The sequence below is a fragment of the Homo sapiens genome, chromosome 8 (genome assembly GCF_000001405.40).
Source record: "Homo sapiens chromosome 8, GRCh38.p14 Primary Assembly".
Taxonomy (NCBI): domain Eukaryota; kingdom Metazoa; phylum Chordata; class Mammalia; order Primates; family Hominidae; genus Homo; species Homo sapiens.
Window position 1 is genome coordinate 123944287 of NC_000008.11, and position 25351 is coordinate 123969637.

Here is a 25351-nt window from a genome sequence, read left to right on the forward strand (position 1 = left end):
ATATATATTATATATTTAATATATATTTAACACATAAATTCATCCATTTTATTATCAAATATATAGTGAACAAGTATATTGGCTCAATCCCAGTGTGGTGTAGAAGGAGAAGCATTCAGTCAATAACAAGAAGACCCGGCTCTGCCCTCAGCTTGGCCAATTCATAGCTGGGTAACTGAGCAAGTTGCCTAACCTCTCAGAGCCTCAGTTTTCTTGTCTTCAAATAAGAATAGTAACTATTTTCTTTCATATGCCAGGAGGTAAGTTATATATATATATAAATAAATACACATACACGTACACACACTCTCAATCCTTAGCACTCTATGAGGTAGGTACTATTTGATACCCATCTTACAGATGAGGAATTACAAGCATAGAGAAGTTACGCATTTTGCTCTAGGTCACACACTATATGAGGTACAGGGTAACCAGACCTGGGCCTGTGTCTCACCCAGTATGCTGTGAAAATACTACCAGCCTCCTTTCCCTCACAGGGCTTCTGCTAGGGTTCCATATATGGCAAAGTGCTTGGAGGAGTGTAAAGTGTTGTATGAATAGGACCTGTAGGCACAGTTTATCTACTCAGGGTCTTGGCTCCATCCTTCTCCTTGTTTTACATATGTGACACATATCTCTCTATAAGTTGAGCTTTTCAGCAGGAACAGGGAGTGTTGCGTCATATTTATGTATAAGTTCAATATATGGATTTCTCCACTTCTGACTTTGCTCCCATCATAGATTGGGGATCAATGAAGCTTTCCTCATTGTTTGTGCAGTTGGTGAGTTTATCATCTTCAGTAGCAAATCTTTATTGTGTTCCCTGAGTTCAAGGCCTGAGACCAGGCATGACTTTAGACCTCCTTTTGTGTTTCCAAGTTGAGACTGAGAGGACTAGACTGGGAAGCCCCTGTATATTTGGGACTTAATACATCTTGACCCTGAGCTGAGGCTGAAATCCCGAGGATAGTGACTCCTGGAGAAGTTGACAGGACTGAACTCCTCCTCCTGTTCAAGAGGCTCCAACTTCAGCTTCTGCAAAAATAATTTATAAAGAACCTGAGCAGAGCCTGTGCAATGAGGGAGAGAAGGTTTGATGGGATTCTGTTGTTTTGGGGGCCCTGTAAATCCCACACAAAAGGCTCACTGAAGATAAGTTGTTTTTATAAAGCCTCTCCAAAATGCCTTCAAAGTTATGTTTGATTTCATGGGTTGATAGATGAGCCTTCAGGTTTATTTTTTTCTATGCAGGACATCAATGAAAACTGAAGCAATAAATTTCTGGCGGTTACTTTTTTTTAAAGTCATGTCTGAGGTATGGATGATTGGAAGCTCTTTGTGAGCAATTGCACTGAGTTGCCTCATTATATTGCAAATTTTAACTGATTTATAGAGCTTCATTTGACTGTGCTAATTAAGGTTTTTATTCTTGGAACTAATTAGCTTGAGTGAAGTAAATTTTTCCTCCTCTTGGTTATAGAAGCTATTAAAGAACTCAAACATGCAAAGAAAGTCAGATTCTTTGCGAGTCATATTTGAAATAACATATTCATTTTCAGCATTGAACTGCTTTTGCTTTTAACAGATATGAACTTCCTTTCATATGTCTTTAGTATATACAGAAAAATAATTAGGCTATCACTTTTAACCCCTTGGAACATTTTATGTAATATACCGGAGTTCTGAAGTAAAACTCTGTTGGGAAAAAAGTCAATTTTGACTGAATGGGATTCAAAGTGTATCTGTTATCAGAGGTCACTGGGCCTAGGTTTAGAGAGGAAGCGTTGTAGGGGTGTTCATGCTTGCTAAGGTTTTAGCATTCCTAGTGGCTAAACACAGGATAAATGAACATCCAGAAGTACTAGCTCTTCCAATGAATAGATTTATGACCTTGAACTGGTTCTTTCTTTTCTCTGGACTGGACCTCAATTTTGCTATCTGTTTAATGAACAGGTTAGTTTTTTGTTTGTTTTGTTTGTTTTTGAGATGGAGTCTCACTTTGTCATGCAAGCTGGAATGCAGTGGGGAGATCTTGGCTCACTGCAACCTCGGCCTCCTGGGTTCAAGTGATTCTCCTGCCTCAGTCTCCTGAGTAGCTGGGATTATAGGCATACACCACCACACCCAGCTAATTTTTTTGTATTTTTAGTAGAGACAGGGTTTTGCCATGTTGGCCAGGCTGGTCTCAAACTCCTGACCTCAAGCGATCTGCCCGCCTTGGCCTCCCAAAGTGCTGGGATTACAGGTGTGAGCCACGGTGCCCGGGCTGCACAGGTTGGTTTTGATTAGTGGTTTTCAAACTTTAAAACTTAAGTTTATTCACATATTATTCAAACTCATTAATATGTAAAACATAAAAATGGATCCCCTCAGGTACGAGAGGAGGAGTGGTGGCCACATTGGGCCACCTGGTTACATACTCAATCTTCCCTCTCTTCCTCCCACATCTGAACCCTTGTTGCAGACACCTGGGCTTAATTATTATAATCTCTCCCAATTCAAACAACTGAAACTTTTCCAACTCCTACTTGAGCTCGATTTTTTTTCTCTAGTCATTCTGCACAAAGACACGGAAATGACTTTATTATTTCATCTCTTCTTGATCAAAATGGCAGAGTGTACTAGGGCCTAGTGCAGTGCTTGGAACACAACAAGGCTCTGTGTACTTTTTTTTGAATGACTATAAGAGACTGGTGGTAGAGAAATAGCCAACCAATAAAAGGTATTTAGGGGCCAGGTGCTGTAATCCCAGCACTTAGGGAGGCCGAGGAGGGCAGATCACCAGGTCAGGAGATAGAGACCATCCTGGCTAACATATTGAAACCCCGTCTCTACTAAAAACACAAAAAATTAGCCGGGTGTGGTGGCACGTGCCTGTAGTCCTAGCTACTTGGGAGGCTGAGGCAGGAGAATCACTTGAACCTGGGAGGTGGAGGGCAACAGAGCAAGACTCAGTCTAAAAAAAAAAAAGGTATGATGATGAAGAGAAAGAAAAAGGAGGATGCATTAGAAAAGGAAGTGATTTTAAGAAATGGATGGAAACTGAGGCTGGGTGACAGCCAAAGCTGCTGCTCTATTAACAGAGTACAAATTGTTTTTCAGGCCCCAGAGTGAACAATTTCCTTTTTCTCCCCAGCTCCAAGATGAATATTAGGATTATTATCTTTTGCCTGTGTTCTCATTCTTGGAATGATGTTTAACTCTTTTCTTGTTATATGATTCATTTTTAAACAGGACCAAAGAAATTCTATTGAATTCTTGTGGAGCTTTCTATCTATAGACTCCATCTGTCCATTCATCTATCCATAATTCAACATTCATTGAGCCCTGCTGTGTGCCAGGCATGGTGTTAGATACTGAGGGTACATATGTAAACTAGGCATGATTGTTGCCTTCAAAACCTCAGCATCTAATAAAGGAGAAGGATGTTTTTTCAAGTAGCTGTAATGATCCATGTGATAAGTATATAATAGAGATAAGAACAAAGTGCTAGTGGAGTCCAGAGGAATGAGTGACTTGTTGCTCCATTGCAAAACTGGAGAACACATCACATCAAAGGAGGCAGTTGAGTTGGGCCTAGGAGAAAGATTTGGGTGTTGCTAGGTAGAGATCAGAGAAGTCCCCTTCAATGGAAGGCCTACGGTGAGCAATGGTTCGTGGACAAGAGAGTGTGTGAGTTTAGGAGGAGCTGTCCATCAGGCTGGAGTACATGGTTTGAGGATCAGGTGCTGTGTTGGTGAACTGAGGCTATAGTGTGGAGAACCCTAAGAGACATTCATAATAGGTTGAGCTGGTTTTTAAATTTAATTAACGTGTAGGATATAACACTTTAGTGTTTGCAAACAGTATGTTGTCTCTATTATTTCATTTGATATCCATGATTGTCCTGTAAGACATAACTTATCCTCCATTTTACAAATGAAGAAACTGAGGCACAGCAAGGTTGAGGATTTACTCAAGGTTGCATAATTAGCATGTGGCTGTACTGATTCTCAAAGCCAGGGCTTTCAATCTGAAAATCTATGCTTTTTAAAAATTAAATCTTGAAGCATAACATATGAACATAAAAAGCCATACCCACAAATCTTAAGTGTATGAATTGAAAATTTTTGCAAAGGAAATGTAGTAAATAATCTCCAAATCAAATTGGGGAAGTTTGACCTCTTTCTAATGTTGCACTTTCCAATCTACAAGCATGGAATATTCATTCATTCATCTTATTTTGTAATTTCCAGAGTATAGGTCTTGTTTATATTTTTTAGACTTATTCCTGAGTTTTTGAATTTTTGATGCTATTATAAAATCTTTTATTTCTAATTTTAATTTATGATTCTTTGTTTTTGTATAAAGAGGTACAACTGACTTTTATATATTGACTTTGTTTCTAGGTATCCTGCTAAATTCAGTTAGTAATTAAACTAGACAGACACTATTGAATTGGTCAGGGCCTCCAGTGCAGTGTTAAATAGACGGGAAATAGCAGGCATCTTGTCTTTTTTTTTTTTTAAATATCAGAGGACATCTTACATGATGATATGATATGATATATGATATTGGTATGATACTGACTCAAGGACTTTTGTAAATATTGTTTGTCAGATTCAGAAAATTCTCTGTTCCTCTGATTTGCAAAGATGGCTGTGGAATAGAGAGTAGGTTTCAGGAGGGAGAGAACAGAAGCAGAAAGTCCAGTGAAGTGTGCACTAGCACCAGGAGCCATGTGGACACAGAGGAGGGAATGCATGGGAGAGATGTCCTGGGTTCCTCTGTTTCCCCAGTCATTCTTACTTGATCATTGCTCATCTCAGGAAAGCTTCAAAAGGAAAAGGAACACTAAAAGTTGCCAGGATTCTCCTTCTCTGAAGTCCCAAGTAGTGTTCTTGAAGATATTAACAGATATTTAATGATAAAGATGTGGTGGTCAAATCCATTTGGAAAAGTCTGAATAGCACCCTCTTGGAGAGTCACAGTGCACAATTGTGGCTTTGACAATCCTGCAGCAAAGGTAGTAATTTAATTTAGTTTAACATAGCACCCATTCTCCTATTTCCAATGTCCACAGCATCAAAAAAAAAATGAGGTTCAGAGGAATTCCATAGATCCTCTCTTAGTAAGTTTAGGAAGTTTAATGATTCCCATTTGTAATAAAATCTGTTATGGGTCAGTGTATTGGTGTTCCTGAGGTTATAAACATACCCTTCTCTTTACCCTAGACATTCAAAACCAATTGAGAAAGAAACCCAGACATCAAATAGGGATCAAAATACTACCTCAATTGCTGGTGAAGCTCAATTGGAGGAAGCTGTTTGGACTAGAGTCCAGATTGATTTTCAAATACTTCCCTCTGAATCATATGGACTTGCCCACTCAGCTGCAGGGAGGAGAAGCTCTGCTCAGTGGTTACTTCCACTTGCACATCAGAGCAGAAAGAAGAATACAAATGTTCTGTGGGCAGGTAGACCCAAAGGAAGAAAGACCACATGGGAATAAGAGCTTTGGACCTTAGCCCTTCCCAAGTGAGGAATGTAAACATGATGCCGTACTCTAATAATTCCACCAAAAGATAATCAAGCAATATATGGGAGGAAGAAGGTTTGGGGAGTAAAGGAAAAGCAGAAAGCCTAAAAAAGATAGGAGTTTGAAGATTCATTTATGCTGGGACAAAGGGAGAAAGAGCTGCTTGTTCCAAGTGCTGAGAAGTGGTCTGTAGTCTATGTTTGGCTTAAAGGTTGATTTCTTGATGTTTAGGAGAGTGGAGAGCAGGGCTTTAATTAGCCTGGATATTAAGAAGATGGAATAGGAAAGACGAACCATTTTCTTCGGCGCCCAGGCAAGAGGAAGTCTTAGGCTGCGGTGGGGGCGTCTAGTAGTCCTATCTGTACTGCATTGTTGACTTGACTTGCCAATATTTGTTTCTCTATTTTCCTTGCACTCTAAATAGCGCGGTCATGTGTGATGTGCTGATGCTTAGCTGTAGAGGGTGAGGAGCAGGAGAAGATGGAGGCCAGTGACCTCAGGCTGAAAAAGATCCCCCAACCCTTGGAGGATTGTTTCTATTGTGGGCACCGTTGGCATGCCCCAGGGTGGGCAGGAAGCATGCAAGAATAATGCCTCCATTTTCCTGGGGCAGTCCTACAGCCTTGCCCTCTTGCCATTTTGCCCTTGAACACTTAGCACATTTCTCTGAAGGGCTATGAGAGGCTGGCTTAATAGGGATGGGCTTTACACAGTGTGGCTCTGAATTATTCCTGAGTCATTCTTGGTTCAGAGAAGCCAAAGGAAGAGGAATTAATTAGCATCCTTGGAGGTGTATTTCCTAGACTCAGCTGACTCTTGCAGGTGAAATATTAAGATTCTCAATCACTGTTTGTTGAGTTGTGATATTTGAATCTCATTATAATGCTTGAGGGGACTATAATGTACAAAATTAGGGGCTAACACAGAAACATCCACCTACTATCACAATGAGATAAAGGTTTCCAAAACACAGTATGCAAGAATGAACTGCCTCCCGTGAGACTGGGAGCCAGGGCCCATCCATTCAGGCCATTAGCCTTGCTTGAGACATTTTTGATCCAGAAGAGGATTGTTCTTTTTCTCCTGAACCTGAGCATTCTGTTCCTCCAAGGCTGAGCTAATCCTGTGCATAAATAGAGAAGGTAGCCAATTTTGTGGGCTAATTGTAGGGGTTGAGGTTGAGTGGAAAGGAAGTAGACGTGGATTATAAAGTGCAGCCTATGCAAATGTATCTACTAAAGGCTCTGAATTTAATACATTTAATAATTCCTTTTGGTTAAGAAATTATTTTAAATTTCCTTTAGATTTCTCTTTGAGAGGATAGCTCATTGGTACTGTCTACTTAACCACAAGGGTTTGTAAACCTGTGGCACATTAGAATCACCAGGGGAGCTCAAAAACCACCGAGCCTTTGTCCCATCACTGACCAATGAAATCACACCCTAGGGGATGGGATCTGGTCAAGTGTGGGGCACAGTTTTAGAAAGCTACCCCCATATGGATTAGATGTGTAGCCAAAGTTGGGGCATCATTGCCTTAATGAAATAGAACATTGAATAGGTAAGTTTTGATAAGAAAATCATGGAGAGAGAGAACTTACAGAGGCATGGCAAGGCAGAGTAGTCACATGGGTCTATATTTTAACAATTTCTATTGAATTCTGCAACACAACTGCTTCTATGTGTAGTGGTTTGCCGTTAATGAATATATCCCAGTCTTAGAAAGATGAGGACCCAGATAGGACATCCTCAAGAAGATATTTCCCGTCAGGCTACTGGGAATTTACCCAAAGGCTTTTAAGATAACCTTTGAATGGTGGAAAAATTTTGTGATTTTGTTTTGTTTTTAAGCTAGACCTCATTACATACAAATTTATTCTTTGGATGGAAAGAATTCATCAAATATATAAATATAATTTTTAAAGTTTGTAATGATTTCACATAAATAAATTCTCAGCTAAAGTCCGCCCCCTGCCCTCCCCAGCCCCGTACTGGGTGTTATGGCTTTGGGTTTGGAAGGTGAGGTGCACAGGTAACCTGTATCCTGAGTCCTCTTAGGTAGAGAAGAGAGCAGCATGGGCCAGTACTGGGCATGCTGTTGACACAAGTAACTTAGTGTTTGGCCATTTGGCCTGAGCTGCCTCCATTCTGCAGTGAAGGTGGAGAAGGTGATTCCAGAAGGGGAATCTGGTGACACAAGTGGGAGAACACGTGGCAACTCTGGCTGTGAGCAATTTTCTAATCCTGGCTTTGCCGAGCGGTGGACATGACATTACATTAGCTACGTGTACAGCTTTTAATAGTTCAGCATGAGGGATCAATAAGGTCATCTATGTAACATCCCAGTGAGAAAAAGCAGAACTAACCTTATGGCCACTTCCTGAACAAGAGGAACAGAAGAGGAGCCTGGAGCTCAGAGAAGTCCCAGGGCCAGCTCCAGTGACACAGTTAGAAAGTGGCCTACATGAGACCCACACTCAAGCAGTCCAGCCCCTCTTTCTTGTGCCAGGCTGGCTGCCTCCCTGCAGTGCGGGCCTTGTGGTTAAACACTGAGTGATGCCACCTGAACAGATGTGCTGAGCAAATCTAACATGTGCCTCATTTAATGCTCTTATTGTTTGGATACAGATATCGGAGTCGCAGTAGCTTTCACCCTGAGGAGACCAGGTTGGTATGAGGGTTCCTGTGTACCTCTTGCCTTATCTTGGGGATGACCCTGGGAGGATATTATGATCCTAAACCAGAAAGCCCTATACTTTTTGTGAAGTGGGAGGGTTCTCATGCTGGAATTCTCTGCAGAGTAGAGGTGGTTGGGGATGTGGTGGCAGCTGCCTTAGTGGCTTACCAGGTAAGTCTTCCTGATTTGATGGTTGATCCCAATACATTGTCTGGAAACCCCTGAAATCCCCTTATTTGTCAGCAAGCATAACATCATCTTCCTCGTGGTATGCTGTGGGGATCCTAGGAGATAATGTGTATAAAATGATGCTCCTGGCACATAGTGAGTGCTTTATACAGGTGTAAAAAAATTGTAAACTCACATTTCCTTGTTATGAATATTGTGACACTTTGTAGCACGCTTTACACTTGACAAACATTGTTTTCTATTTTAATATCACCCTGTGAATTGGGTAAGAAATGTCCTTGTGTCACATGGGAAGAAATATGCATCTGAGTTAAGTATCCAACCCCAAATTCTAGAGCTAACAATGAATTCAGGCAGGTGCCCAAGCTGAACCCTGTGTCACGGGTTCATTTTCTACCTCCCAATCTGCCAGTGGCACCATCATTCTGGGCTGGTGAGCCATGCCTCCTCTTACTGCTCCATGTCACAAGGCTGTGGAGAAGAAATCAATTTTCATCAAGAAACCTTTTCATGCTGGGAGTCATGCTGGGTGTGCCCTTGATGACTGACTCACAGTTTCAGGCAAACAACCTTGTGTGTTTGTGATACTAACATCAGCCCACCCAAGAGGGCCGCGCTGGTTGTAAATCCTTCGGGCATTCCTGGAAGTTTATTTGGCTTACTCTTCAGCAGGCCTGAGCTGCGCCTAGACCACTGCTTCTCAACACTGGGTCTGCCGTAGAGTAATTAAAGATCTCTGAAGGTGGTTCGAGATATCAGTATTTTTATAAACTTCCTTAGGCGACTCCAATGGGCAGCAGGGTCCAGAGCTCTTGGCTTCAGAAGGGCAGGGGTGCCTGTCTCTACAAGGTGGGGCATCTCGTCCTCTTCCCCAGCCCATGACAGCGTCTTCAGCCATGCCCCAATGCATCAGGCGCTGGCTTCCCTACAGGAGAACTCAGAACGCTGAGGCTACCCATGACGAGGATGTCAGCTCCCGAAAGGAACCTTATGTCTCCCTCGGCAGATACTGTCTTTTATTATTAGCAACTCCCTATTTATGGATGGAAGTCATTTAGTTGCTTCAAGCAGCCTCCAGAGCCCAATGGCCACGTTCCCAGGAACATCAGATTCTGCCTCTTTGAACTGCTCATGGCAGGGGGCACCTGGGGACCATAAATGCTGATTCGGGGTTGGGAAGGTACTAGCTTTAGGTCCCTGGCTTGGGAACGACCCTTTGAAAACAGAATAGTGAAAACTATTATTGGAAGTCCTCCTTGTGTATGTTCTCCAGAGATTCCTGGGAGATTTAGGATGATGTTCTCATCAGAGGATGATGGCAAATCAAAGGGGGAAAATGCTACCTCCAAGAAGGGCACTTATTTAGCACTTTCTATATCCCAGATGCTGTCTTAGATGATTTGCTACATTACCTCATTTTATTCTAACAATCCTGTAGAGTAGTTCTTTCCATTATACACAGGAGGAAACTGAGGATCAGGGAGGTACTGGACTTGCCCAAGCAGTTAGGGGTCCTGTTCACATCTGGGTGCTTTCAGAGTCCATTCTTTCCATCCTAATGTATCTCAGGGTCTCAAAGGATCCTTGAATTCCCCTGGGCCAGTCCCCCCTTCTGATGCCTTGTCTTCTCTACAACATCCTTTAACAGTGGTTCTCAGGCCTCTGCTTGCATGCCTCCAGGAACTGGAACCTCATTTCCTTGCAAAGTAGTTCACTCCACTGTTCAAACAGCACTGATGTGGGAGCTCCTTAATTCCTTATCTGAATTAAAAAAAGCAGGACATACATTGAATAAGTGAGCAAATAAGTGAATAGAATAAGTGAATGAGTTGAGTGAACATCTATCTCCTAGAGCCTTCCACTCACTGGTCTTAATCCTACCCTTAGGACAATAAGAATAATTAAGGTTTATTGAGGAAATAGTATGTTCCAGGTACGGTGCTAAATACTTTCCATTTATTATCTCATTTCACACATGAGGACCCTGAAGTTTAGAGAGACTAAGTGACCTGTTCAAAGTTGCAGAGATAGTACTGGGATTAGAATTGAGGCAGTCCAACTGTGGAGGCTGATCTTAACCACTGCACTCCACACATCCTAAGTCCTAAACATATAAGCAAAATGGGAGACTGTGATTGTTCCGCTGCTTTTCACGTTCAAGGCCCACAGATATTCACTGAATGGGATTTGAGCCTTTGCTGCCGTCTCCTCCCTTCGCCTCCAAATGTTCACTTCCTTGTTCCTTCCCCTCCTCTCTCCAGGGCTGGCCAGGCTGCCTGCATCAAGGCCAGGACTTTCCTCCAGCCCAGTTTCATCCATCTGTGCCCCAGAGCCCTGTTCTCAGCAGTCCCCCAGCTCAGAAAGGGGTTCTGTAGGAGGCTGGCAGAGCATTAGGAATGCTCTTGTCTGTCAGAGACCATGGACTAGGGAGCTTCCTGTAATGAGAAGGAGGCTTACGGGCATGGTGGCAGGCCCCTGTAATCCCAGCTACTTGGGAGGCTGAGGCAGGAGGATTGCTTGAACCCGGGAGGTGGAGGTGGCAGTGAGCTGAGATCGCGCCACTGTTCTCCAGCTTGGGCAACAGAGCAAGACTCCATCTGGGGGTTGCAGTGGGTGGGGAGAGAAGGAGGCTTGGAAATGGCTTCCTGCTTATGGCTAACAATAACAATAATAGCAGTGGACCTTCTGGGCATGTGTCATGTGCCAGCTGAGCTGTGCGCTTATGGTGAGACCTCAGTAAGTTCCAGGCCTTCTTGACCTTGGTCTCGAGAGCCCAGGTCTGGTGATGGTGTTTACTCTGCTGAAGGGAATGGACAGGCTCTGGCTGCCCAGTGGTTAGACCCTGGGCTTTGAAATCAGGCAGGCCTGGGATCCAGTGGTAGCTCTGATGCTCAGAACTGTGTGACCTTAGAAACATTGCCCGGCCTCTCTGGGCCTTGGCTCCTCATCTGTAAGGTGGGCAGGAGAGGGTTGCTGTGGTGATAAATGATGTGACTGCTTTTTTATGCCTAGCAGAGTGCCTGGTGATCCAGGAGAAATAGAAATTTCAGCTAGTGTTGTTAGTATTCAGTTTGCCTCGCCTACGTGCAATTCCAGGTGGACCTCACGATTCCAATTCGGGTGGGATTTTTGTGGTTTCTGCAAAAGCAGAGCTCCCTGGAGAGCTTGTTGGGTGCTGCTGATACTTGTCTTTTGCCCTCATCCTGGGTGGATGAGGAGGCTGGTGGGCTTCATGAAGCTCGGTGTGTTTTTGTGTTTACCTTCTCCTAACACGTCTAAATGACTCAAAGTTTTTATTGTTTCTTTTTTTTTCTTCTTTTCAGAAAGGGGATGTTTGGGCTGAAGGTGAAGAAGAAGAGAAATAAGGCAGAGAAGGGGTTAATCCTAGCCAACAAGGCTGCGAAAGGTGAGGCTGGGGGTGGGGTGCTGACCATTGGGGCCTGAGAGTCTCGCAGAGTGACCCCTCCGTGGCTGAAAATGCAGTTCTCTCTCAATGGGAGCGAGGGGGAGTGTGAATGTGCTGCCCCCGACCCTTTAGGTCCTTCTAGTCACAGGTGTGGGCCCAAGACAACCCCCAAGGCCCTTGGTCATCTGGGCCAAACAGGTGAGTGGGCATGTAAGGGGTCCCTGTGAGAAAACAGCAGCAGGGTTCAAACTCTGTTTCTGTTCTTATTTGTCCTGTGACGTAGGATGAGTGGCTCTGAGTCTCAGCTTCTCCTTTATCTAATGTAATGATGTGGGTTGCTGGGCTGATCTCACACAGCTGTGGGGAAGATCAAGCAAGATTTTGAAAATAAGAGGATCACAGTTACTGTGGGGGAGGCTTCACACACAACATCTCATTGAATCCCTCCATCATCTTCGCAGTAGGTATTGTCACCCTAGTTTTACAAGTGAGTTTACAGAGATAAAGAGAGAGTAAATAAAGTGTGGAAGAGATGCTGCAGAATTTGCAAGGCCCAGTGAAAAATAAAAATGCACAGCAGTTGTTAAGTTATTAAAAGTGTCAAGAGGGTGACCGCAGAGCTTAAGCCAAGTGCAATGAGGCTCTTCTGAGCTTAGGGTCCTTTATGGCTGCACAGACCACATATCCATGAAGCCGGCTGGCCCCGAGCATGGGAGGTACACAGCCAGGAAGCAACAGCGTTGGGATGTAAATCCAGGCTGTCTCACTTTCTGCTCTTAGAATGGGATACCTCCTTCTCCAAAAGGGCAAAGTCTTGAGTTACAGGGTGAACTGCATCAGTAGAGGCCAGGCCCAGCACTGGGTAGATCCTCAGTGTTTATTGAATTAAATTGGATCAGTGGTTTCCAAGTGGACAGATGGGGTGGTCCTCTGGAGACTTCTGCTGCATAGCCTTGATTAAAAAGCAGCTCAAGGCTAGTTTTCTGGACCATTCCTAAACCAAAATGGTACCGTGGGTCTCGTTAATCTTCACTCCTCTTGTCTCCTGGGAGGCCTGCTTCACTGCCATCTACTGCAGATGTCCTGTAGCCATATGTTGTACCTAACTTCACTCCTTGCCCTTAGGTAGAACCTATCCTTATGGTAGAAAAGTATGGAAACTCATTAACACCCAGGTATTGATAATGATTAAGAGCCTTGGATAGAAAATGAGGGACATTGCATTTTCAGTGGGGACAAGGCTTAAAGCTTAAAAGTCCTTGTTGATTCAATGAAACTTCCAGGGAGTGGGTGGAAAGGCTTTGGGGTTATTCCTGGTGTCTTTGAAACTGTAACACTGTGGTAGGCCCTGTGACACAAAGTTGAATAAGGCATAGTCCTTTCCCTCTAGGACCTTGTGAACACTAGTATTTATGACATATTTAATAAGTCTCTGCTGCTTTTTCTTAACATACATCATTCATGACTCTGAAAAGTAGATTCTTTTGCCCCCATTTTATAACAGAGGTTCAGAGAAGGTGAGTGGTTTGCCCCAGGTCACACAGCTAATAAATGGAGAAGCTGGCTCCCGATCCCAGGTGAGTCTTACATCAGAGCCTGGGTTTCCTACCCCATGGGCAGCCTCCAGTTAACAGCCCTCCCTGAGAAGCTGGCGGATACCTAGGGCAGTCGACCACAGGCATTTCAGAGGAGTTTGCTCCTGTGGCTCATTTTAAAGTCTGCAACCCACAAAGCAAACAGGGCAGGGAGGAATCAGGGCCCTCCTAGAAAGTAAACAGCATCCATCCTGCTGTCCACAGGCCAGCCCTGTGGGAGACTGAAAAAACAAAGCCCACAGAACAGAGACTTTGGTCTTGCCTTCTTGGCCTGGCCTGGAAAGTTAGGGCTGTTTGGGGTGAAATGTTTGGAAACTTTCTAAGTCTCTTGCTTTTTCATCTGTGTATTTTGAGGCATTGTAGTTACATCTTAAATTCTTAAAATTCTCTTTACCCTACCCTAACCTAGCGATTAGTTACACAACAAATAGTTATTGGGTACCTCCCACAATCATCCCTTTGTCCATTTATTCAAAATATATTAGTAGAATGTCTTAAGTGTCAGCCCTGGGCTAAATTCTGGGAATCTAATGGCAAAGACTGGATGGTCCGAGGGGAGGACAGCTCTGTTCAGGACTCTTCTGTTTGCCCCTCCGGATCTATTCTCCACCCTTAGCCAGCTGCTCTCTGTCTTCTATGGGGGCATGGCCGAGGTCTCTTACCCTCTGCCTTTGGGCTGGCTCTGGCCAATGGGGTGCTCCAGCAGGAGGCGTGGGAGGGAGGAGCATGGGTCAGGCTCCAGGTGACCCTGTCCCTCACCTACAGGAGGGAGGCTGACCCCACCAGACTTCCTTTCCTTCGGGGTTCCAGTAACTGCTCTCTCTCTCTGCTAATTTTGGGGGGTGCCTAGGAGTGGCAACAGCTTGGCTGTTGCGAGCCCCAGATGATGGCAAGATCTTTTGTGGTATTCCTACATAAACATCTTTGTAAAACGTCCTCAAATCACCTTACTCTGATTGTACCATCTGTTACCTATTGGGACTATGACTGAGGTAACTAATGGCATTGCAAGTTGAGTAAAGTGCTATTAAAAAAAAACCCAAAACAGACAGTGGGCTGAAATGGAGACTGCTGGGGAGTCTCTTAGTGCAGTCAGAGAAGAATTCTCTGGGGAGGTAACATTTAAGCTACAACCTCAAGGATGAGAGGGAGCCCACTGGGCGATGGGCAGGGAGGAGAGCAGTGCAGGGGGAGGGATGCCTGTGAAAAATTCCAAGCAGCAGAGAGCTTGTGAGATTCGACGGAACTGAAAGGGGGCCTTGTGGATAGAGCGCATAAAGTGGGTGAGAGGGCCACGCAGGCAGTAAGCGTGGGCAGAACCAGATGGAGCAGGTCCCTAATTGCAGATTGTGTATGGACTTCAGATTTATTCTAAGTGCAATGGAAAGCCATTGAGGCGTTTTAAGAAAAGTGACACGGTCTGGTTTTTATAAGGTCACCCTGGATGCCCATGGTGAGTAGACTGAAGAGAACAAAGCAGTAACTCAATAAATTAGTGAATGAGTGCTGTAGAAGAAGCTTTAGCTGACTGCCTTTCTACCTCGATGTCTCACCCTACAGAATGTACAGAATGAACGCCCCTAGAGGGAGGCATATGTGATTTGCTAATTCCTGCATCCTCAGCATCTACTCTAGCACCTTTTCTTGCATATATAACGTGTCTTTGAACGTTCACTGGAAGCTTGAAACTCGACAGCAAGGCCCCAGCCTGAAGGCCCTTGCAGTCAAGGAGGGGAGCAGGTATTTTATCTTGCTGCTTCAAGGAGCACAGCCAGGCACTGGCATTCCTTCTGGCAGCTCTGCAGTGCTGTACTTGTCTCCATTTCCTGAGTGAATGGGTAATAAAAGCAGACTTCCATTCATGAAGAGATCCTCTCTGTAGCTACTGAGCACCTACAAGGCCTGGCCTAGGTGCATGAGCTCCCTGAACATGGCTGTGTTTCTTTGGATGCAGTACTGTTGTGTGTGGTTTGCTGTTTAAAATCAGCGAACCAAAATGCACCAAAGCTGGAAGGTACCTTAGAAAGCATTAAATTGATGGGTTTAAAAGGTGAGTCCCCTGGATCCCTGGGATCCTGAACCATGGCTTCAGGAGTGTCTGAAGGTGGTGGCTATGAGAGTCTGCAGGAGGCCACTGTCCCTATTCCACTCCATGGAACATAAAACAGTGTGATATAAACAGGCTTGTGTTATATACTGAAGTTCCATATCAAGTTACATTTATAAAAGGATTCTGTTGCTTTAACAAATTTTAAAATCACTTTTCTTGCCCAATTCTTTTGTCTTACGGGCAAGGAAAAAAATGCCAAGAAATTCTGGGTGACTTGTTCAAGTCATCCAACTGGGAATACATAGACTTGAACATCTACCATGGACCCTGTATAAAGCTAGGGGCTTTATATAGTTTGTTTAATTTTCCTAACCTGTAGGGGGGTAAATGATGTTAACCTTGTCTTGTTTTACAAATGAGGAAAACGGAGCTGAGAGAAGTAACTTCTCTGAATCAAAGAACGAGAAAGTGGAAGGACTGGAATTTGAACCCAAATCTTTTGGATTCAGGTCTTTGAGCTACATCATGCAGAGTCTCTCGGTTTATTAGGAAGGCTCAGCCACTCTCGTTTTTGCCGAAAGTCTGGTTGAGAAGCAGTTCTCAGGCTTTGCTGTACACTAGGATCATCTGGGGAATTTCAACAATCTCAACATTCAGCAACATTCCAGATGAATTAAATTAGAATCTAGGGTGGAGAGGAAAATGTTATAAGGGTTATGTTTATTATCTATTCATTTAAGTTTCCTAAATGCGTGTGTACTGTTTCATAGGGCTTCCCAGGAAACCTATCCTTCCTAGACTAGTGTGTCACAAACTACCACTAACTCAGTGACTTAGAAGAAGGCAGATGTATTCTCTCTCAGTTATGGAGGCCAAATGCTGGAAATCAGTATCACTGGGCCAAAATCACAGGCCCCACTCCTTCCAATTCTAGCTTCCGGTTGTGGCAGCATCTGTCTAATCTCTGCCTCCATGGTCACATTGCCACCTTTTTTTTTTCTGTCGATGGAAAATCTCCCTTTAAGGATACATGTGATTGCAATTAGGGTTCACCTGGATCACCTCATCTCAAACTCTTAATGTAATCATATCAGCAAAGACCTTTTTTCTAAATAAGGTAACATTTACAGGCTTCAGAGATTAGGACTGGCTATCTTTTCAGAATATCACACATTGCTACTCAAAATTGACCTGCAGACGGCAGGAATAACCTCGTCTGGCATCTAGCTGTTAGAAATGCAGAATTTATCTGGGCACGGTGGCTCATGCCTGCGATCCCAGCACTTTGGGAGGCTAAGGTGGGAGATTTGCCTGAGCCCAGGAGTTAGAGACAGCCTGCGCAACATAGTGAGACCCCTTTGTCTCTCTAAAAAAAATATTAACAAGAAAAAATTCACCGGTTGTGGTGGAGTGTGCTTGCAGTCACAGCTACTCAGGAGGCTGAGGTGGGAGGATCCTCGAGCCTGGGAATTCAAAACTGTAGTGAGCTGAGATCTTGCCACTGCGTCCCAGCTCCAGCCTGGGCGATAGAGTAAGACCCTGTCTCCAAAAAATTAAAAAGAAATGTAGAAGCTTGGGCCCCACCCAGACCTACTCAATCAGAATCTGCATTTTAGCAGCTTCCTAGGTGATGCTTACGCACATCACATTTTGCTAATGAAGCTCAGAGAATAAATGATGCACTAAAATTCCATTGCGGCAAGGTCATGACTTGAAACATGTCTTTTGTTAACTTAAATCATACAATTTATAAATTAAGAAGGTAGACTTTATTTTTTATGAAGGGTTACAGCCTGCCAGGTGCCCATTTTGATGGTCTGGGAAGCATAGCCTCCCACAGAGCGCAGAGACAGACACTTCCAGAAAGGGAAGAGTAAGACAGGAATTCAAACTGAAATGGTTAGCCAGATATATGTAATTACAGGTTACAGGAGGAGCTATGAATATTCAAGAAGGTGGTCTTGATGCATGTGTACTGAACACACGTGCATGTTATATATGACCCAAATTTACCTTGGGGTGGAGACTTGATTTTTAAATGTATTAGAATTAGGCCCTATATGTAAAAAGATCTTTTTAAGAAACAAAAGCACTCAAGTGTGCAGACTCTTTAAACAGCCAGAACGAGTCTATGGTCTGTGTTTTTTGTTTGTTTGTTTTCTTTTTTTTTTTTTTTTTTGAGATGGAGTCTTGGAGTCTCGCTCTGTCTCCCTAGGCTGGAGGGCAGTGGCACAATGTCGGCTCACTGCAATCTCCACCTACTGGGTTCAAGCGATTCTTCTGCCTCAGCCTCCCGAGCAGCTGGGACTACAGGTGCCCACCACCACGCCCAGCTAACTTTTTGTATTTTTAGTAGAGATGGGGTTTCACCACGTTAGCCAGGATGGTCTCGATATCTTGACCTCATGATCTGCCTGCCTCAGCCTTCCAAAGTGCTGGGATTACAGGCATGAACCACTGTGCCCAGCCTGTCTGTGGTCTTTTTATCAGGAGAAAGTCACTGAAGTCAGTCTCTTGTCTAATTAAAGCTGTAGTTATAGCTTGTAGAACAGGGGCTGGGAGTCAGTTATTCAGTGTCTGTCAGTGGTGGGCAAGCAGTAAATCGTTTATTGCTTATCTTGAGGCTGGTGCTTGTGCAGCTGCTAGAGAAAAAGAAAAACCTGTGGCAGTTAGAACACAGTTTTATTTTTAAGTATAGGAGTGCATGACTTAAGCTTTGCCTGTCATGACTTTAGGTCCTGTTTGTAATTTGGTATCTTATTGCCACAGGGTCCATTCTGTCAGTCTTATGATCTCTATTTTAATGCTGGTCAGTTGTTGTGTCTAAACCACAAAAAGGAAGTATAATGAGGTATGCCTGACCTCCTGTCTCATCATTGACAAAAACCTAGGGTTTTATTTCTGTTTTTTATTTTTTGATTTTTGAGATGGAGTTTCACTCTTTTGCCCAGGCTAGAGTGAAGTGGCGCGATCTCAGCTTAGCTGCAACATCTGTCCCGCTGGGTTCAAGCGTTGCTCCTGCCTTAGCCTCCCAAGTAGCTGGAATTACAGGTGTCTGCCACCATGCCCGGCTAATTTTTGTATTTTTAGTAGAGAGGGGGTTTCACCATGTTGGCCAGGCTGGTCTCAAACTCCTGTCCTCAGGTGATCCACTTGCCTCAGCTTCCCAAAGTGCTCGGATTACAGGTGTGAGCCACCGTGCCCAGCCAGAAACTCAGTTTTTAAGATTTTTCTGGGGTCCCCTTGGGTGGGGGAGGGGGTTGCTTAGGATTTTATTTTTAGTTTACACTTTAGATTCACAATCCGATTTTTCTTTTCACAGTCCCATCCACATAAATCTGTTCTTTTTTGGAAACAGAAGATACATAAGTTTTAGAAAAATGAAGGATGTATCTGGCATTTCTGCCAATAAGATGTTAAGTTTTATGCTGGCAGAGTCTGTCTTCTAGTCTCTTTGTACCACTTATGGTGCCTGCCACAGGGCTGGCATAAGGTAGAGGCTCGATTGCCACCACATGTCAATTTCACAGGATTTTCTTCCTTTGTTTGCTTCTCCAGATAGTCAAGGTGACACTGAAGCACTGCAGGAGGAGCCTTCTCACCAGGAAGGACCGAGAGGAGATTTGGTCCATGATGATGCTTCTATCTTTCCTGTCCCCTCAGCTTCTCCAAAGAGAAGGTACAGTATGGATGCAGGTGGTCAACACACATTTGCTGAGCATCTCTTATGTGCCAAGCACCTCTACAGGTGCTGGGAGAAGAGAGGAGAGTAAGACATAGTCACTGTCTACAGGCAGGCAAGGTCTAAGGCAGGAAGACTGTGTCAGCTCAGTTTTCTCTATGGCAGTGCTGGCCTCTTGATACCGTTCAGCCTTCATCAGGCCAGGATCATGGTTCTACAAGCTTCTGGTCTTAAATCTCCTGAGTGAAGGTGCTCATGTCGCTCACAGTTCAGGAATGACAGCAGGAGCTGTCTCTTACCTGCTCTTTGATTCATCAAGGTGCTCATTATCTTAGCTTCTTGTCTGTCTCAAATCAGAAGGTGGTTCTTATGCTACCCAACAAAAAGTCAAAACAAGCTGGCCTTCTGCATGCATTTTGCTAGATCAGTTAGCAATGATGTGTAACAAATAGCCCCCAGATCTGTGGCTTAATATAATAAGCATTTATTATTGCTAATGAATTAGTTGGATAGTTTTGCTGATCCCAGATAGTTGCAGATGCATCATTCATGTTTCTGTAGTCATTTGGCAGCTCTGCTGGTTAGTTTAGGAGTTGGCTGGTGGTAGCCTGGCCTAGTACTGCTTCAGCTGAGACCGGCTGTTCTCTGCATGATACCAGATCCTCCGTCAGGCTAGTCTGAGCTTGTGCCAATGGTAGCAATGGCAGGGTTCTAAGAGAGTGGAAGTACAGAAGTTCTCTTGAGGTGTAGGCTTTGAACTGGCAAAAGTCATTTCTGCTGCCTTCTGTTGGAGAGACTAAAAGTTACGGGGCAACAAGTTTGGATACAGAGTAAGCCAATGACTGGGGCTAACAATGCTTTCAGTCTACCATATTTGTTTATGTCAATTTCTTACTTGTGATAATTCCTCATGCCCTTCCCTTTCTTTTTCACTCAAAGTTGTTACTATCAATAAAACAAATTAGTGCTTCCCCACTTGGCTGATCCTGAGTTGTTGTTTCTGGGTTGTGACAGGATGGCAGGGTACATATATGTGGGTTAGAGGGCAGTGGGAATTAGAGAAAGTGATAACTCAGAAGTTGACACTCAAAAGAAGACATGAAATGTGTACACACCTACTCACTGCAATATCTCCTTCCTTCCTTTGCCGCACCCTGACAACCACCACCCCTCTACCCTAGTCTCTGAATAGGGATTTCAGTCATTTTTTAATACTCAAGATATTTCTTCCTATTCATTTTACAAGGGTGATAGCATTGAGTGGAGGAAGGCAGGAGAAAGAGAAGGAAGGAATAACAGCCTTTTTCTTTTTCCTTGGTCAGAACATTCTCCAGCAATTGAAATTCTATCCACCCACCAATGCTCAATTCAAATCCAACCTCTGCAGTGAAATCTTTGTTGTGTACCCTGGTCCTCAAGACTTTTTTTCTCAACAGCTCTTCTGTCATATTTTCTTTACCCTATGACACATTTTACACTTGCCTACTAGTTCTTTTTAAATATACTTCTGTCTTCTCTCCCATGGATGATAGATTGTTACTTCTCAAGGACCAGGAAGATGGCTTACTCATTTTTGTTTTTCCCCTGAATCTGGCACTGGGCTTTCACATAATAAATAATCAGTACAAATTTGCCATCTTATTGATGAACCAATTAAATGATATTTACCCTTTCTTACCTGCATTGTCTCCTTGGGTCCTCAGAGTAACCCTATGTGGTAGGAATTCTTATTTTTACTTTCAGTTGCAGAAATTAAAACTAAAGTCCAAAATTGGGGAGAACAATATTCTAACTCAGATCAGTCTGACTCCAATGCCCAGAGATTTTTACTAACTTAATCAGTTCTCTATTGGACTCAATTATAATCAGCAGAAATGGGATGAAGTCAAATGCAACATGGTATTGTTAGTAACCAAGGGGATAAAATGCAACAGGAACTCAAGCTCAGTTCATTTGCCACTGATTTCAGCTTCTATGACAACAGGAATTCTTCATCTCTTTCTGTTGTTATCCATCTCTAAATGCCCAGGTGTTGCACATGTTTTCAATTACTTGTGATAGTCCAGATAAATGAAATCCCCTGGAATGTGAAATTTCATGGAGATGGTATCTTTAGTCATTCCCTTCAATTTTTTCCTTTACCAATTATTTCAAAGCAATTATGATTATATCTATTAGACATGGCAGAATGGTCCTGTGTATGGAATCAGGCAGGAGACTGGGAGTTCCTTATTTAGACCCAGCTCTGCCACTGATTTGCTGAGGCATCTCAGTTTCTCATTTTGTTTAAAATTTTAAAAAATACTGATAATCATATAAAAAGAGCTGACATTTATTCTTGCCAGGTACTGAGTTAAACCTTTATATGCACTATATCATTTAATTCTAGCAATCATCTCAGAAATGCTATTACAAGCTCCATTTTTAGGATGAGAAAACTCAGAGGTCAAGTCATTTGTCCGCTTATACTTATCTCCCCCAGAGATGTAGACAGAATATGTAATAATATTAAATGAAAGGACTTAGAAATACTTTGGAGAATATTATCATGACTTATGGATATTCTTCCTTGATGAAACAAACATATTAAACTTTCTTTTAATAGATCAAAACTGTTGACTAAGATCCATGATGGGGAGGTCAGATCCCAAAATTATCAAGTAAGTGATTGGCTCTTCCTGCCCAGCCTCCCCCAGTGCTTCCTGTGTGCATGGATGGCGGTGTCCGGAATGGTGTCCACACTGCTTTGTGTTGCAGATTGCCATAACCATCACCGAGGCTCGCCAGCTGGTGGGTGAGAACATTGACCCAGTTGTGACCATTGAGATTGGGGATGAGAAGAAGCAAAGCACAGTGAAGGAAGGAACCAACAGCCCATTTTATAATGAAGTAAGTCATGGAGGTCACCCACAGCTTTTGCACTAAGATTCTCTTCACCACCATTCTGCAGGATCCTTCAGTCAAACAAAGAGCTGTGCCCCTCCTGCCTCCCTCCCTGGCCCCCAGTTAAGCCCATGGCAAACTGATTCTTCTTACAAACACAGCCCCCTAAAGCTTTTCACAAAAGGGTAGTGGAAAAGAGAGGCGAGGAATTCCTCCTGATTTTAAATTCACTGCTACGTTTTCAACATACGTTTTCTTATTTATTATCAGCTCATTTTCATCCATTATAAGCCCTGGGTTTATAGTCAATAAATTGATTGAATGTCGGTTAGGGAGAAGATACATATTCTTCTTCCTGGCAGAGACATTGGAAACTTAATTATTGTTTTTGAAACAGGCATACTACCTTGGAAAGTAAAAGTTACATTTTTCTAAGCTGTGTAGAAATTGTAAAGAAAAATCTCAGATTTCTAAATATCGTACATGCTAAATTCTCTTTTTAAAATAAAAATATTGTTGGGGTGCAGTAGCTCACGCCTGTAATCCCAGCACTTTGGGAGGCCACGGCGTGCGGATCACGAGCTCAGGAGATCAAGACCATCCTGGCTAACATGGTGAAACCCCATCTCTACTAAAAATACAAAAAAATTAGCCAGGCGTGGTGGCAGGTGCCTGTAGTCCCAGCTACTTGGGAGGCTGCAGCAGAAGAATGGCGTGAACCCAGGAGGCAGAGCTTTCAGTGAGCCGAGATCGTGCCATTGCACTCCAGCCTGGGTGACAGAGTGAGACTCCACCTCAAAAAAAAAAAAAAAAAAAATTACTTGGTGAAAAAATATGGCAAAAGAGACAAAAAGTATAACGATATAGAGTAATGTGTTTCCCTCTGATCTTTGATCCCCAATGCCCTAGTCCTCTCCCTGGAAGCATTCACTCTCACTAGGCATTTGCGTATCCTTCCAGAGATATTCCAAACATGTACCAGAATACAAGGAAATATTGTACCCAAATGGTAGCATTCTATACACACTGTTCTGGACTCTTCACAAAACAATGTATCTTGAAAATAAATCCCTGTGGGAGGTACAGCTCATTCCCATTTTGCCTTCCTGGCTGAAGAGTTTTTCATTGCCTTGATATGCCATAATATACTAAACCAGTCAGTCTCTCATGAATGAACATGAAATGCTTTTAACCTTTTGCTACTACTTATAATAGTATAACTGGGTCACAAGGTATATGCATTTAAAATTTCCATGTCGCTAATTGCCTTCCAAAGAGGTAACAATTTATACTCAAATGAACAGTGCACAGGAGCATTTGCTTACTTGTAGGCTCTTTGACACAATGAATTATTTCAAAAAATTCAGGGCACTCTTAATTCTTATTATCTTGGCCAGATGCAGTGGCTCACACCTGTAATCCCAACACTTTGGGAGGCCGAGGTGGGCAGATCACGAGGTCAGGAGTTTGAGACCAGCCTGACCAACGTGGTGAAACCCCATCTCTACTAAAAATACAAAAATTAACTGGGTGTGGTGGCATGTGCCTGTAATCCCATCTAGTCAGGAGGCTGAGGCAGGAGAATTGCTTGAACCTGGGAGGTGGAGGTTGCAGTGAGCCGAGATTTCGCAACTGCACTCCAGCCTGGGCAACAAAGCAAGACGTTGTCTCAGGAAAAAAAAAAAAATCTTATTATCTTAATGAGAATGGTCATTTAAAAGGAAGGTAGGGAGAGCATGGATAATGAAATCAACAGAAAATACCCAAATCCCATTGGAGCTAATGACTCCTTTCCTCTTCATCATTTCTGCCTCTGCGCCTCTGACTATAAATGAAATGTCAGTACATTTTCCCTTCTTGTTCCACGCTCTACCCCCAGAAGAGCTTTTGGCATGGATGTAATATGAGATAATATATGAAAATGCTTTAAAACTGCAAAGCTCTACAGATTTATTAATTATAATAATTATGCATACAAGTCCTGGATCTAAATGACGTTAAACTGGGCCCAAGTGTAACCGGTAGAAAAATCACATAGAAACACAAAAGTTGATCTAAAAACCTTTGTTACAACTCTTGACCTAAATATTCAAGCCTAAAGTTCATCAGATGCTGAAGGAACCCATTAGTTGGAGCTGGGGAATATTTCCCAGCTAGAAGAATATGTGTTGGCCAGGAGGTCTCGGAAGCCTATGTGAGGCAGTTGAGTCTGAAACATATGAAACCCATCAGAAGGTAATAAATATTGCAACTCATTTGTCCATCCAAAGGAAGCCACAGCATCTGGTGTATTCAGAGAATGAAGAATGTTGTGTAAGTGAATTTTCCACATAAATTTTGAACACCAGGACTCTGAAAAAGTTTAAGCATATATATGAGAAATTTCCTGAAATGTTGTATGTATTGTCTTGTCTTCTTAAACAGAAGACACTGAACAGAATGGAATCTTTGGTTGATCTCTAAGGACCACCATTTTGAGGATCTCTTATAATGTATGATGACATTTTTCGGTTCCCACATTTTGCTTTTTCTGTTTTGCCCTTTGAAAGCAGGCCATCGTCATTTGGTCAGTTCCTCCTTTCTTACTGTGGCTGTGTCCATCTCTAAGGGGCCATTCTTCCACTCTACAGCTCAAAAAAGAAAATCCAGGAAACAGCTTCCCAGGCCTGCCTTCCTGGTCCCCCTCAGTTCCCAAAACACACAAACCAGGACAAAACACCACTTCAGTTTTCTGCATCTTATAGTCTTACAACCTTGAGTTTGGGAGGATCTTGACTCAAGAGTCAGATGGTGAAATATCTAGTACTTGATCCCCTTGTGTGATAATGTCAAGAGAACTAAGGTTTGGTCCCAGACCCAACAATAACTACCAATAGGAATCTGGGTAGCATCTTTTAAATTCTTTAGTCTTCAGTCTTATCTGTAAAACATGGGACTGGTCTAGATAATTTCTCCAACTCCAAAATTCAATCATGTTCTTAATATTAAAAATCCTCATGTCCATAGATTTTTGTATTCTCTCCCTGGTAAATCCTGGTAATTTCACAGGGATGTTTGAAACTGAAAAATCCTGGGAAAAGTAGATTTTAGTCAAGTCCACTCCAATTTAAAACCATACTGAAGTACCATTTTCACTCATAATTATAAATTAAAAAATGACACTATCGAGGGTTGATAAGATTATAGAGAGATGGCTATTTTCATGTTGCCAGTGAGAATATAAAATTCCCATTTGGGGAAAAAATTTATACTATCTATTCAAAAGTTATATGCACTTAATCTATGACTTGACAATTCCATTTCTCATGTTCATTTTGGAGGATTACTGACACATATCCTATGCAAGAATGTGA

The 25351-nt window shown here is 42.9% G+C and overlaps 1 protein-coding gene across 7 annotated transcripts in view; it reads left to right on the forward strand.

The window, feature by feature from the left end:
- The window catches only part of FER1L6 (fer-1 like family member 6), a 268075-nt gene that overhangs the window by 92300 nt on the left and 150424 nt on the right, over nucleotides 1–25351 (forward strand). For 4 of the 7 annotated variants that reach the window (XR_928347.3, XM_011517231.3, XM_011517235.4 and 1 more), the window contains exons 2-6: nucleotides 8145–8183; nucleotides 11706–11788; nucleotides 18992–19112; nucleotides 21721–21775; nucleotides 21873–22004. Coding sequence is in view for 6 of the 7 variants with exons in the window: in XM_011517231.3 (XP_011515533.1) it covers nucleotides 8145–8183; nucleotides 11706–11788; nucleotides 18992–19112; nucleotides 21721–21775; nucleotides 21873–22004 (430 nt within the window). In the remaining variant the exon portion in view is untranslated. The remainder of the gene's footprint in view (nucleotides 1–8144; nucleotides 8184–11705; nucleotides 11789–18991; nucleotides 19113–21720; nucleotides 21776–21872; nucleotides 22005–25351) is intronic. The other 3 variants (NM_001039112.2, XM_006716618.4, XM_011517233.4) reach the window with 1 other exon arrangement.